This window comes from Homo sapiens, chromosome 3, assembly GCF_000001405.40.
Source record: "Homo sapiens chromosome 3, GRCh38.p14 Primary Assembly".
Classification (NCBI taxonomy): Eukaryota; Metazoa; Chordata; class Mammalia; order Primates; family Hominidae; genus Homo; species Homo sapiens.
Genome location: NC_000003.12, coordinates 156666958 through 156680731, shown reverse-complemented (window position 1 = coordinate 156680731; position 13774 = coordinate 156666958). Strand labels below are relative to the sequence as shown.

Genomic DNA, 13774 nt, shown 5'->3' with positions numbered 1-13774 from the left:
ACAATCTTACCAAAGGATAAAAAACAGCCATATGCTCCTGACCTAAGAATTCCTGGATTTTCTGGGATCAAAATGATTATCTTGCCTTGTTCTCATGGTAACAGACTGTCATGTGTTGGCCAATAATCCTGCTAGTTTCTTCCTGATCAATTCAAACAGATAGAAACTTAATGTACCAAGATGCTGAAGTACTCAGCAGACTGGAAATTTGCTTCATGAAGGTGAAGTGGGAGCCGCTGTTCTGCAAAGTTTTGCAATCTGGAGATAGAAGGATTAGAGTGGCTTTGAGAGTATATAAAATTAATTACCCTTGACATAGCAATTAGAATTGCTAGCTCATGGGCAACAGAGATTTTGGAAAATACCTTATTAAAAAGATTTTTAAGATAAAATGGAAAAACATTTTTCTCTTCCAATGCCGGCTTAAAAAAATAAGTTAAAAGTACTTAGCTGTATTATAAGATTTTCACTACTGAAGCAAGGTGGAATCTTGAGTGTAATATATTATCAAGATAATACATTTATAGTCAGGAAAACTACACTCTTGATATGACCTTACTTTTATCTCATAGGGTCTTCTATGTAATACTTTTGAATTTGGGCTTTATACTGTTTCTCTTCTTGTTCAGCACTTCCCTTTTGAAACACAAGATGCAAAGTTCTAGTCTCATGATAATTAAGTTGCTAAAAAGACACATGGATTTATGTACTATATAACTGAAATATTAAAATTATTAAAAGACAACCATTTACCCATTACTGAATGGGAACGAGATAAATGAAAAAACAAAAAACAAACAAACAAAAAAAACCATGTTTCTGTAATGCGAACAAGCTCTGTGGGCACCAGTCAGAATTCAGAAGGTTGACATGAAGACTACCAGAATCAGACAACTTGGAAATGGTTTACTGCAACCATTTGCTGACTCTCTAGACACATAGGTAGTGTAAATCAACATATCTGTGAACAAAGATGACTCAAGGAATTGTTTTCTCTTGGACTTCTGGGATGGTATATTCAGTGTATTTTCCCCTCCAATATGGGTCATCTCAGTACTATACCAGGCCATTCATTAGTATGAAGCTGTTAGGTTGCCTTCATGGCCTCCCCAATCAGGGAGCATGGACAGAAGTGTTCTTCTCTCCCTTTTAATTTTAATCCTTACTCTTGGTCATACACAAATAGCTATTAACACCACACACTTTAGCTCCTTCTATGCTACAGGAGAAATAACTTACAGATGTAAACATTAATGCTTATTATATAGCCATTTTTGCACTAGCAACTTTACATGAGGCAACTATCATTTTCTTCATTTTAAAGTTTAAAGAAGAATTCAGATGTGGAAATACCAGTTGCCTGCCAGTGAATGCTGCTTAGACATCCATACTAAAAGAACTGAGTTATGTGTATACACACATCTTGTGTACCAAAACTCAAGGATAATTGTTTGAGTATTAAACATACCTTACCATAAATTCATCCCTTCACTGATTGTTAAAGGACTCTTCCAGGTTAAAAAAAAAATACCCTAAATTCTGGAAAAATTTATTTTATCTATAATATAAACTTAATGGTGAAAAGTTCCAAGGAAACTAATAAAAGATCCAGAAGTATGGGAGGAACTTCTGAATCATTCACAGAAAAGATGTTTATACCATTCAAAATGAAGAGGGTCACAAACATCTCTCGACAATACTATTTTTCTTTAAAAAATAACAGCTGCTCAATGTGCAGAGCTTTAAAATTAGATAAATTAGGAGATTCATTATTTATGTTATAGTAAGATTCGCCAGACTTTCTTTCAAAAGCCAGCTTTCCTTGGGTGATTAAAACAGTATTTGATTCACAATATTTAATGTATGTGCAACTTCTCAGTCACACGCACGTTGAACTGACATATGAATTGTTCAAATCGTAAAACTTTCATTGTCCGGTTGAGTTAATAGCCTGCATTCACCCACCATGAAAAATCAGGACAGCACAGTCAAAAGAATAATAGTGGAAAAAAAGAAAACCTGTTACTACTGAAAGAAACCACCCTACTAAGCTTTTAGCTTCTTTACCTTCTCTATAGCATTTAACAACAGTTCTACAAGTTGTTATAAATACATACCCATACTTCATTCTCATTCTATCATTTTCTGGGTTACAGTAAAATCTTTCCAAGTGCTCCTGAGAATCATTGAATACACTCTGCCACTTTTGAGTAGTTGTCCTTTTGATCTGCCAATGATATGGCAAGACAGTGTGGTGCTTCAAACAATCCCTGCCATAAATACAAGTGCCTTGCAGAAAGTCCATGCAAATTTCAATTCCGTTCTCTTGGTGAGTGTGGTACTGCAACTGGTTCACCAGCTCAAACACGAGGTCAAGGGAAGCCTCTTCACTTTTGTCCTGAAAGAGCTCAGTACTCAGCTTATCACTGGTGTCCAGAATGTATTGGATTGTAAAACTGTTTTCTTGGAAAATGCCTGGAACATAATCTATGACTTTGTCTAAGCAGTCAGGACTAGTAGGAACATCACTTGAAACTGGGTGCAAAAGATCAGTCTGGAAGTGAGCTGGTGTGGAATCTGCCACCGTCCCACTGAGGGTTTCTGATGGAAAGCTGTGATCTTGGATTGGAACCACTCGTTCTGGAGCTTCAGTGGAAGGATGGGCTTCCGGTATCTGGTCCCCAACATTTGTCCTATCAGGAATCAGAACAGACATATTATTTTCTGCTGGTGGGCATGATGAATTGATTTCCATGGCTTTCTTCATCATAGGTTCATGTAAGCTGTTCTCATCTGTACTCTGGTTCCTAGATCTAAAAACCCCATCAAGTGAGCCAGATTCTAGAAGAGTGTTTAATATTGGCCTCAAAGACCTCAGGGTTCCAGTTCCCAATCTTTTCTGATCCTTTTTCTTAAAACAAGTCTTCAATGGAGTGATCTTCTCAGAGAGTCTCATTTGGCATGAAAAGTCATCAGGAGGAGAGGGAGGCTGCACTACACAGTCTGGCTCAGGTTCGGTGGTTTCCATTTCCATAATGTGGATTAGCTCCAACTGCTCCTCAGAGTCTAAAAATCCTACGAGGAAAGGAAGGAAGATGATCATTTACAAACTGACAGCAACTGGATTTCATTCATTCATTAAAATGTTTTGTTTTTGTCCTGACTGATTCCCTGAAACCATTCCTCTTATACTATATTTAGTTTTTACAAGTCAATTTTAAATTTTATCGAGAAATTAAGGCTCCAAAGCACCCAAGGCTATTCAAAAGCACACAGCAGGTAAAAGTAGAAGAGTCTTTCAACAGGCCATTGGCATGCATTTGTGGACTGAATACATAAGAGTTTGCAATTCTGCTAGGTTAAGAATTTCTACTATAAGGTTAGAGTGGGGTGGGAAATGGGAGGTAGAAATAACTGTATCTAGATGATGACAGCAGGGAAACCACATTTCCACTCAGCTTTGCGGTTCTCTTTATAGTTGTTTATGTATCACCTATCTCATGAGTTGACAAAAAGTTTCTTTAAAAGTTCATCAAATGAAAGATAAACTTCAAACTTAAAACAGTGAGTCAATTTAAGGGTATAAGAACATACACAAGTAACAGGGGCTCTCAATTGAAATGTTCTATGGGAGAAAGCCAGGAGTCTGTTAAGCATTTCTATATTCAGAAAGCTCTAATATACTATCCAAGAATGTTAAGAGTCTACTTTTACAACCCCCAAAAACATTACCGCTTCTGATGGAATACAAGGGTGTGTTTAGTAACAGAAGCCCCATTAGCAACAACCACTGCACGATGTGTCAGAAGACAAGCACAACTTGGTAACACAGAAAAAGCCTCCTAGTTCTTGCCTTCAGAAAAGTTACATACATACATTTTTAAAGAGCAAATGAAGGCATACTATAGAAAAATAAAAAAAAAATATAAAACACACACCAAATTTCAGATTCCTAATCAACTACTGAAAGAGACGAAAAAGTCCTTTCTTCCAAGAATCAGACCCCTTGAAAAAAACTGAAATTTGAAAACATTTACTGAGATTGTGCCAGGTGAGAAAGGAATGGTGATGAGCAATTAATCCTCTTCTCTCTTGTCCAATAAACTGAAAGAGATCTGTGACGCAAGGTCCCATGACTTAATCAAATATGCATCCTAGGTGCCCAATAAAGTGCCTAGCTACCACAATGCACACAGCTGGTGTTCCATATATATTTTGTTGGCTGAATTAGTTAAGAAAAGCACATATTAAATGCTTAGTTCTTTGTTGTTTGTGGGTCAACAACAAAAGGTAAAACTGAGTGTCCCCAAAAGTGAATATTAAAAATTTAATTGGAGAGTCATAAATCTATGTGTAAGAAGTCCATCAAATTCAGAAAAGTAAAATACAAAGCAGTTTATAACGAAGTATTAAATTTACATGATAAGTACAAAAGGAAAAGGCAGAAAAAGGAGAGTTCACTGTAAGCTGGCATTGTTAGGGAAAGCTTCACGAAGAAGGAGGGATCTGACATGAGACATAAATCAACTGGAAAGGAGCCAAGCCAGGCGTTATTATTCATCATTTGGTGTTATTGCCTCAAGGCACAATTGGCACAGATTGTGGTATTCCCTCTCCACCATACCAAACCGGCCTGTGCTTTCCCCACGCGCACACTCTCTAACCACTCCTATCAAACCCAATCAAGGTAAAATAGACACTAAATCGATTTTATTTATATGTGTGTCTGCGCGTACACACGCAAGCGCGCGCGCGCAACTTTTCCTATTATTGCCCTTTCATCAAACTCGGAAACAAAACTGGGAGGAAGAAGCAGAGAACTGGAGAAGTGGCTGGAGGGGGAAAGCCACTAGAACCTAGCTCCTCAATTAGTTTTCATAACAGAAAAATAAAGATGAGAAGAACACATCCTCCGGTCTCCAGCGGCAGGCGACACACCGCGACACCCCTCACCTCGTGACGCTGGGGTTCTGCGGCACTCCCGGCCAAAAGCACTTTCCGAAAAAACTGCCGCTCCAAAGCCTGCCCGCCCGCCGCCGCGCGACACCCCGGCGCCGAGCCCGGGTCCGAGTGACGCCTCCTGTTGGCCGCGGCGGTTTGCTCAGCTCCTGGTCCCGGGCCGCGCCAACTCCGCGCAGTGCAGCTGAGGCGCCGCCCGGCTCTGCAATTCCGGGTGTTCCCGGGCGTCCCCGCCCCCGCCTTCCCCTCAGCAGGCGCCTGGGCGCCCCCCAACTCCTGTCCAGCCTCCTTCGGACCAACGACCCGCCCCGGCCTCCCTGCATCCCAGAGACTACTCGCGGCGCCTTCTCTCTCTAATTCTTCTTTACCCCCTCAGCTCACCTCCCGAGGAGCGTCCAACGGGTCTTGGGGGCTCGCAGAACTGAGCCGCGAAGCGCGGGGGAAAGGCGGCGAGCGCTTCCCGCGGCGGCGGGGAGGAAGACGAAGACTTGTGCGCTCTCAAAGTTAATGTGAAAACATCTTCCAAACTTCTGGGCTGCAGCCCGAAACGCGGGGTAGCCGGAAGGCTCCCGTAGCTGCCGTGCCCTCCCCCCCGGGGTCTGGGAAGGGCTCCTAGGCGCCTCAGAGCACCCGGGGTCGGCCCGCGGGGGAGGCCGCATAGACGCGCCCCCACCCTGACGAACGGGGAAGGGGCAGGCGCCTGCGACCCCAACTAAATCCTTCGGCGCCTCGGTCTGATGTATACACCTGCCACAGGCTCTAAGTGCCTAAGAAGTGTAAACCAATTCCATCTTCATGCTGACGGGACCCGAGTGAATTCGGTACAAAGGGCAGTCTCAAAATCAATCACCCCGATCCGCGAGAGCCCCGCACACTGCCGGCGCGGGGCCGGGGCCGGGGCCGGAGCCGCGAGGCCGGCGCTCGCACTCCCCGCTAGGGTTCTTCAGCCCCTCAGTGCCCTCCCGGAGCCCTTTACCTGAACGGGAGCCTGAGAGAACGGACGACAGGAGCCGAGTGGAAAGCAGTGCCCGCGCCGGAGATCAGCGCCGAGGGCGGGAGCCGACGTCTAGGGACCACAGAGCCGCGACGCGGCGAGCCGCGCACGGGCCATTCCGCCGCCGCGAACGCAGAAAGCCTCGACCGCGCTCCGAGTCCAGCCAGCTCGCCTGTCACCTCGATCTCTGCTTTAAGTGGCTTCCGGTCGCCTCCTCCCGACGGCCCGTCGCGGAGGCGGAGCCTGGGCGGCCGGAGTTCGGTGGGGTGGGGTGAGGAGGCCGGGCGCTCAGTGGGTGTCGGGAAGAAGACCCGCCCCCTGCGCGCGCGTGCGCGTTCGTTCGAGGGGAGGCGCGCGAGTTCTGTGCGGTGGACTTATGCTCCCGCGAGGGGGCGTGTCCTTTCTCGCGTCCGCAGTGTCCCTGAGGGTCCGCGTCTACACGCGGCTGTGAGGAAGGAAGGCGCGTGCCGCGTGGGACGGGCTCCACCTGCCTGCGGACAGATGGAGGGTCACTTTGTTCCGAGAAGACCCAGACACCCGAGGGAGGATGTGAAACGGAACGACCCGTTTCGGTGCGGTTGGCTTTGTTTATTTGCCTACTCCCCAGACGCCTCCAGCCTCTGATTCCGGCACACCCTGTGAGGAAGCAAACGGCTGCCTCCCCCACTGCCACCAGACGAGGTCGCCTGCCCCGAGCCGGACAGGCTGGACAGGCTGCGCACCTGCGGCGGCCGACTATTTCGTGGGCCTTGTACGCCACCTTGCAGAAGGGAAGCTGTGAGGTTTTGGCGATAGAAGCGCATTTACTTGTGTTTTAAAGCCCACAAACGCCGTAGTGACTAACTTATTCATTCAGCAAATGTCTGTCAGAGCGTCTATTACGTACCAGGCATGTAGCCTGAACTTCACGCCTGTCCTCATGGAGCTTGCAGAGCACCTCTGAAATACACACCACATACGGAATGGCCATATTTTCTGGGTTGTAAAATACTTTGAATTGTAACTCCATATATTGAATAGATTTTCAGTAGTGAGGGAAGAAACAATACATTTAGTTCATATAATCCATATGTACGAAAAAGAAGTGCTGGTAATTCCAGACATGGAAGTCAGTAAAACTAGGAGCTAAGAGGTAATAATCATAGACATTATGATTCTAAGCCTTTGTTAAACGGTTCTAAACCAGACTGGGTAAGCGCACCAGCAATGAATAGATTAAGGGTGTTATCTCCTTAGCAGCTTATTTCAAATTGCATCAAGGCAGGGCCATTAAACTAAGGTGAGAATGATATGGGCGGAATTCAGAGGACAATAGGTAAAAGATGAAAATCTTTACATTTAAAATCTTATTGAGACAAGATCTTGGTCAGTGTCTACTCATACATAGAATTGCCTAGAAGCTAATATTTGAGTTTACCATATTACTGTTGGCTTTCTATTTTTCTCATTTGTTCTGTTTCTTTTCTGTCCTTTTGTGCCTTCTTGTAGATTATTAATTCCACTCCCTTGTAACAATTAGGTTGTTATACATTCTTTATGCTTTTAGTAGTATTTCAGTTATTTATTGCTGTGTTCAAACCACCCCCAAAATATAATGACTTAAAACAATGGCTCTTTTATTTACTCATGATTCTGAATTCTCTGGCACAGGAATTCAGTCAGGGCATAGTACAGGTGGCTCATTTCTGCTCCATGATGTCTGGGGCTTCAATTAGCGTGGGCATACTGGGGCCTGGCTGGAATGGCTTAACTAGGGTCATAAGTCTTGGGACTTAAGGATGGAGATGGAGTTTCATGACAAAAATGAAGTGAACATGATGTGGAAAATATGGACATGGAAGCCACGAGCTAAGGATGCTGGAACAGAAAGAAGGCTGTTAGCTACATACCTTGGTTTTTCTCTACATGGCTTCTCCATATGGCTAATTTAGGCTTCCTCACAGCATCATAATCTTAGGATTGCAAGAGGGGACATTCCAAAAAGACAAGCCTCAATGTGCAAGCCTTTACTTTTATCATGCTTACTAATGTGTCACTGGCCAAAGCAAGTCTCATGGCCAAGCTCAGCGTCAGTGTGGGGAGGAACTACACAAGATTGTGAATATTGGGAGGTGTGACATATTGGTAGTCATTTAGACTAGGGACAGACCACCTTAATCCAATCAAGAGAATAATTAAAAGTTACTTCCAGGGTATAGCCCAGTTCCAACTTAAAATCTTTCCTCCTTAGGTCCTGAACTCAATATTTTTACCCACCCAATCCCACACCCACTCCCCTTGAGGCAGTTGAAAACTCTGGCTAGTTTCTCAGCCTCTCTCCATTACTGCTTTCTGAATGTTAATTGCCTCGAAGGGAAAAGTGGCACCAAATTCTGGACTCAAAATCTTGGATTTAGGCCCCTCAGACTGTTGAAGTTCTACTGCTCCAGAAAAGGTATCCTCTACAATCTCTACCTCGGACGTGGCCCATCTTTTTTTGAAGGAGGGATGACAGTGTGCCTAGCTGAAAAATTCATTTCCCTAGAGCCCATGGGGTTATGGATGGCCATGGGATACACTTCTAGACACATGCTTGAGATTTCTGGAAAAGCGTTTCCTTTCCTAATAGAGTCACCCCTTGAATTTCTTCCTTTTTTTCTTTCTTCTAGAGTAATAACAGGATGGAGATGGAGTTTCATGACAAAAATGAAGGTGAATATGATGTGGAAAATACAAAGATGGAAGCAACAAGCTAAGGATGCTGGGGCAGAAAGATGGAACCTGGGTTACTCATGACATCTTGAAACTGCTGCAGCCATCCTAGACTGGCTGCCTCTAGACTTAATATGTTTAGAAAGTAAATCCCAATTTTATTAAACTGTTATCTGTTATGTATATATGAACACATTCTTAGCTAATAAACTATCATGTCTCCTAACTAGTCTTCTAGGCTCTACCAGTTAGATAGTAATGTGAGTTGGTATGTCAGAAATACAAGAGCTGTCACAAAGCAATACAACTCCTATAACATTTCCTGATAATTCTGTAAATATACCAAATCATTGTAAGATTAAGAAACATGTTAATTAAAAACAGGAAGTAGAAGAAATAACGATGCCCATAGTTGAACATTTTAAAGTCTCATTTTGGCCACGCAGTGGCTCATGCCTGTAATCCCAGCACTTCGGGAGGCTAAGGCAGGAGGATCAGTTGAGAGCAGGAGTTTAAGAGCAGCCTGGCCAGCATGGTGAGACCCCTATCTCTACGGAAAAAAAATTTTAATTAGCTGGGCACGGTGGCATGCATCTCTAGTCCCTGCTACTCGGAAGCTGAGGCAGGAGGATTGCTTGAGCCCAAGAGGTCAAGGCTGCGGTGAGCTATGGTCACACTATTGCACTCCAGCCTGGGCAACAGAACAGGACCCTGTCTAAATCTCATTTTAACACTTTGATATAGTTATAATCTGTCTTATTTATTCAAGGTATTTTTCTATATTATTTTACCTAACATTATATCATAAACAGCTTTCCATGTTAATATTGTCTTTTAAACAAATAGCTCTTCAATATTCCAAGTAATTATAGTATTTTTTGCTTATTTAGTTCATTCTAATTGCACATGTTCACTTTTTTTCATAACTTATTCACTGCGTATCTACTACATTCTAGTAACTGGACTAAATATTATAAGTACACATAGATGAATAAGATGTGGCTCCTCCCTGAGCACTCTTCAAAACTACAAAAGACACATGTACATGCAATATATATGTATATATGGCGTATGTGTGTGTATACTTTTTATATGTGACTCTAAGCTATTTAATAAGCTATTTAATTATCTTTATTTTTTTAATTTCTTTTTTTTGAGACAGGATCTCACTCTGTCCCCTAGGCTGGAGTGCAGTGGCGTAATCTTGACTGCAACTTCTGCTTCCAGGTTCAAGTGATTCTCCTGCGTCAGCCACCTGAGTAGCTTGGATTACATGTGTGGGCCACTGCGCTCAGCTGATTTTTGTATTTTTAATAGAGACAGGGTTTCACCATGTTGGCCAGGCTGGTCTCAAACTCCTGGCTTCAAGCAATCCACCTGCCTAGACCTCCCAAAGTGCTAGACTACAGGCATGAGCCACTGTGCCTGGCCAAATTATCTTTAAATATGCTTATAGAATGGAAATATTTTAATTTCCAATTCCTTTTATTGATAATTTCTGTCATTCTTATCTGCTGGATTTCCCTTTAGCATGACTGATCAGTTATCAGTAGAGTACTTACAATGAACAGTTTATTAATATAAAAGCCATTCCTTCTTACTTGAATTTCAAGTGACCCAAGGCCTCCGGTTTTCATTTTCATTAACAGTAAGTGCTATCAAATGTAAATACCAATATTCTATTGCTTTCTGTTTTCATAATTGTTAGTTAATTTCCTAACATCCTTCTTGTGGAAAGATAATCATTTTTGGTTACCACATAAGGAAACTGTGAATAACATGACTCAGAGCAGAATGAAAAACCTGAGATTTGAAAACAAAGGCTTTAGTAGCTTTGCTGTACTAAAAGACAGTATTCCCCATGCTGTATATGGGAAATACAGCCAACTTGCATAAATGGCAGACTGACAACTCCTTATCTAAGAGAGCTAAGTCCAAGCTATAACATTTTCTATGAGTGTATATGTAAGAGTAATTTATTCTTTAACTCAAAATTGCGTATGTGCATGAATCTCATATATCTAAAGTGAAAGAGGCTGGATGCAGTGGCTCACACCTATAATCCCAGTGCTTTGGGAGGCCAAGGAAGGAGGATTGCTTGAGGCTAGGAGTTTATGACCAGCCTGGAAAACAGTGGGACCCCATCTGTACCAAATTTTTTTTTTTTGCAGGGACGGAGTCTTGCTCTGTTGCCCAGGCTGGAGTGCAGTGGCATGATCTCTGCTCACTGCAAGCTCTGCCTCCCGGGGTCACGCCATTCTCCTGCCTCAGCCTCCTGAGTATCTGGGACTACAGGTGCCTGCCACCACACCCAGTGAATTTTTTGTATTTTTTAGTAGAGATGGGGTTTCACCGTGTTAGCCAGGATGGTCTTGATCTCCTGACCCCGTGATCCGCCCACCTCAGCCTCCCAGGGTGCTGGGATTACAGACGTGAGCCACCGCGCCTGGCTACCAAAAATTTTTAAAAAGAAATTTGCCAGGCAGGGTGGCATGCACCTACAGTCCCAGCTACTAGGCAATTGAGGCAGGAGGATCACATGAGCCAAGGAGGTGGCGGTGAGCCATGGCCACATTACTGCAATCTAGCCTGGGCAACAGAGCAAGACCTTGCCTCAATAAATAAATAAATAAATAAGCAGTCTCATTACTGCAATCCAGCCTGGGCAGCAGAGCAAGACCCTGTCTAAATAAATAAGTAAATAAATAAATAAATAAATAAATAAAATGAAACTATTATTCTCTAGGCAACTGAAGTACTGCTGTTTTTAAACCTATAAAATTTATTATTAAAAATACTGTCTTGATGTTGTTATAATGAACCAACTCCTGGAACTTACCCAAAGGAAGATTTCCTATTTCCCTGAGAAGGAGTTCTGCACTCGTGGGATTCTAGAACAAGATAAGATTTGGGTGTAATTTATTTACTTCAAATATGATGTTGGCGAGAGAAGATTAGAAAATGCTCCTAGGGAATATGTCAAGCAACAAGGTAGGGAAGTTAACAAACGTGAATTAATGAATTAAAGGTAACCTCAAAGGTAGGTTGGTTTAGAGCCTGTCATGAACATGCTTTGATAAATGTAAACTTAAAATTCATATTTTCATAAGGTGATGGAACATGCAGCTTGCAGACCATTTCCAAGTTTTAAAAATATCTCTCAGTTATAGTTTCCTCCCTCTTGAAACTCACTTTTTTCTCTGCCTCTGACAAGGCACCAGAGTGCTTCTGTTTAGGAAAGGTGAGGGTTAAAAGGCCTAGTAGAAAATGAAACAGATAAAAGTGTGAATAGGACAAGTTCTAAAATGCTTAAGCAAGATCACAAACTATTCTGATTATCTAAGATTTGCATTTGTAAATTGCCTAATCATCTGCTTGACTGTTTTGTTTTCTCAAGATCCCTAACAGTCAAGTATTCTCTTGAATCCCCTTCAGTTTTGGACCTGTTGAGTAATTCTTACAGCACATACTGAAAGTACTGTCTGATCTAACTGGCTTTAGGTCTGTATGTGATGATTTCCTCAGAGAAATCCCCAGATGTTTTCCTGATCATTCAATCAATTGATTCAACACACATTTATCTAGCGGTAGTTATGCAATGGTGACTAAGACAGTCTCCACTTGTTAGTTTCTTGTAGGGAAGTCTGTGTACTGACCACCCAGAATCACTTGGGAAAGCCTGCTGCAGATGCCCCAGTCCCACCGTAGTCCTCCTGAATCTCAGAGAACAGGTCAGGAGAATCTGCACTTTGCAGAAATTCTCTAGGCACTACTGCTTTAAGAGCTCATAGTCTTTTAAAACACTTGGGGGTGGGGAGGAGGTGGCTTACGGGTGTGGCCAAGTAGGAAAACAAACACACTAGCATGGTAAGTGCCATAATAGAGATTTACATGCAAGGCCAAATACAGTCAGCCCTCAGCATCTGCACACTCCACATCCACAGATTCGTCCAACCATAGATCAAAAATATTTAGGAAAGAAAACAATAAAAAATTAATGCAAATAAAAGTACAATATAATAACTATTTACATAGCATTTTATTAAGTAGTATAGGTAACCTAGAGATTACTTGAAGTAGATAGAAGGATGTGCATAGTATGCAAATACTATGCCATTTTCTATGGGGGACTTGAGCATCCACGGATTTTGGTATCTTGGGGGTTCCTGGAACCATGTCCCTGAGGAACAGTTGCATAGAGATGATGAATTAAGCCTAACTATATTGTCAGAGAAGAGGATTACCATCAGCAGATTTCTTAAAGTAGCTAGAAGTATTATTCTTTAGAATGTTAAGAGACTCAGCTGTTTTTTACTTGGGGTACATCTAAAATCCAATAGAAAAAAAATTTAAAACCTCTACTCAAAAAAACAAGTGAATTCCCAACTAAAAGATCTTGATAATCGTGTGCAGAGATCATGTGAGTTAACAGCACTTCTACTTGTATGAATTTATCCTGAGGAAATAATTAGAGTTTATGTGCATGGGTTTGGTTACAAATCCCTTTCCTACAACAAATAAATTGTGACTGAGTGCTCATTTTAATCCAGCCCCAGACACAGTTCTCTGTGGGAAAGCTTTCTTCTCCCCACTTCTTATACTGTCAAAGACATTCTGGGCCATGAAGAGTTCCCACTTTTGCTATTCAGGCACTGAAAAGCCAACACTCTGTTTTTATAGTAAAGAAGGTTTTTGTTTTTTTTTTTTTGGTTTTTGTTTTTGTTTTCCCCAGCACAGTAATAGAATTTAGGAACTGAATTCATTAATATCCCTTGGCAGCCTCACTGTGCAGTCTCTTGTACACAGCATACGTTTTCATGTTGATGTCCAAATTCAATATGGTGATTTTGGCAGACTGGACATCCTAGCCATTCACTAAAGAGAGATCATTCTGATGCTCACCTGCCTTTCATCTCTGACTCCTCCATTAGGCAGATAGCTCCTGGGTTTTTAAACTGGCCTGCACATGAGAATCACTTGAGCCACTTTAAATAAATATATATAAATAATATATATTGTATAATAAATATATTTATTTATATAACTAATAAATATAGTTATTTATTATATAAATAAATATATATATTTATTATATATAAATAAATATATATATTTATTATATATAAATAT

At 42.0% G+C, this 13774-nt stretch overlaps 1 protein-coding gene and 1 long non-coding RNA gene across 7 annotated transcripts in view, besides 4 other annotated features; one reads left to right on the top strand and one right to left on the bottom strand.

The window, feature by feature from the left end:
* Positions 1-6142, bottom strand: part of TIPARP (TCDD inducible poly(ADP-ribose) polymerase) — a 32181-nt gene extending 26039 nt beyond the window's left edge. Inside the window, exons 1-3 of one of the 6 annotated variants that reach the window (XM_047447936.1) lie at positions 5936-6142; positions 2118-3075; positions 177-258 (exon numbers count right to left, since the gene is read on the bottom strand). In XM_047447936.1, the coding sequence (XP_047303892.1) occupies positions 177-258; positions 2118-3034 (999 nt within the window). In that variant the 5' untranslated portion in view covers positions 3035-3075; positions 5936-6142. Of the gene's footprint in view, positions 1-176; positions 259-2117; positions 3076-4037; positions 4069-4953; positions 5166-5340; positions 5807-5935 lie in introns of those variants that run through there. The other 5 variants (XM_047447937.1, NM_015508.5, NM_001184717.1 and 2 more) reach the window with 5 other exon arrangements.
* TIPARP-AS1 (TIPARP antisense RNA 1) lies at positions 5019-7561 on the top strand. The gene has a single exon (NR_027954.1). It is a non-coding gene; the product is annotated as a TIPARP antisense RNA 1 (long non-coding RNA).
* Positions 5057-5416: a silencer, noted in NCBI's record as "silent region_14838". NCBI's record gives its function as "represses an Ori minimal core promoter by ATAC-STARR-seq in GM12878 lymphoblastoid cells {active_cell/tissue: GM12878}" and the evidence as "EXISTENCE:reporter gene assay evidence [ECO:0000049][PMID:35858748]".
* Positions 5787-5856: a silencer, noted in NCBI's record as "silent region_14837". NCBI's record gives its function as "represses an Ori minimal core promoter by ATAC-STARR-seq in GM12878 lymphoblastoid cells {active_cell/tissue: GM12878}" and the evidence as "EXISTENCE:reporter gene assay evidence [ECO:0000049][PMID:35858748]".
* Positions 5887-5936: a silencer, noted in NCBI's record as "silent region_14836". NCBI's record gives its function as "represses an Ori minimal core promoter by ATAC-STARR-seq in GM12878 lymphoblastoid cells {active_cell/tissue: GM12878}" and the evidence as "EXISTENCE:reporter gene assay evidence [ECO:0000049][PMID:35858748]".
* Positions 6347-6646: an enhancer, noted in NCBI's record as "active region_20731". NCBI's record gives its function as "activates an Ori minimal core promoter by ATAC-STARR-seq in GM12878 lymphoblastoid cells {active_cell/tissue: GM12878}" and the evidence as "EXISTENCE:reporter gene assay evidence [ECO:0000049][PMID:35858748]".
* Positions 7562-13774: the final 6213 nt, after the last annotated feature.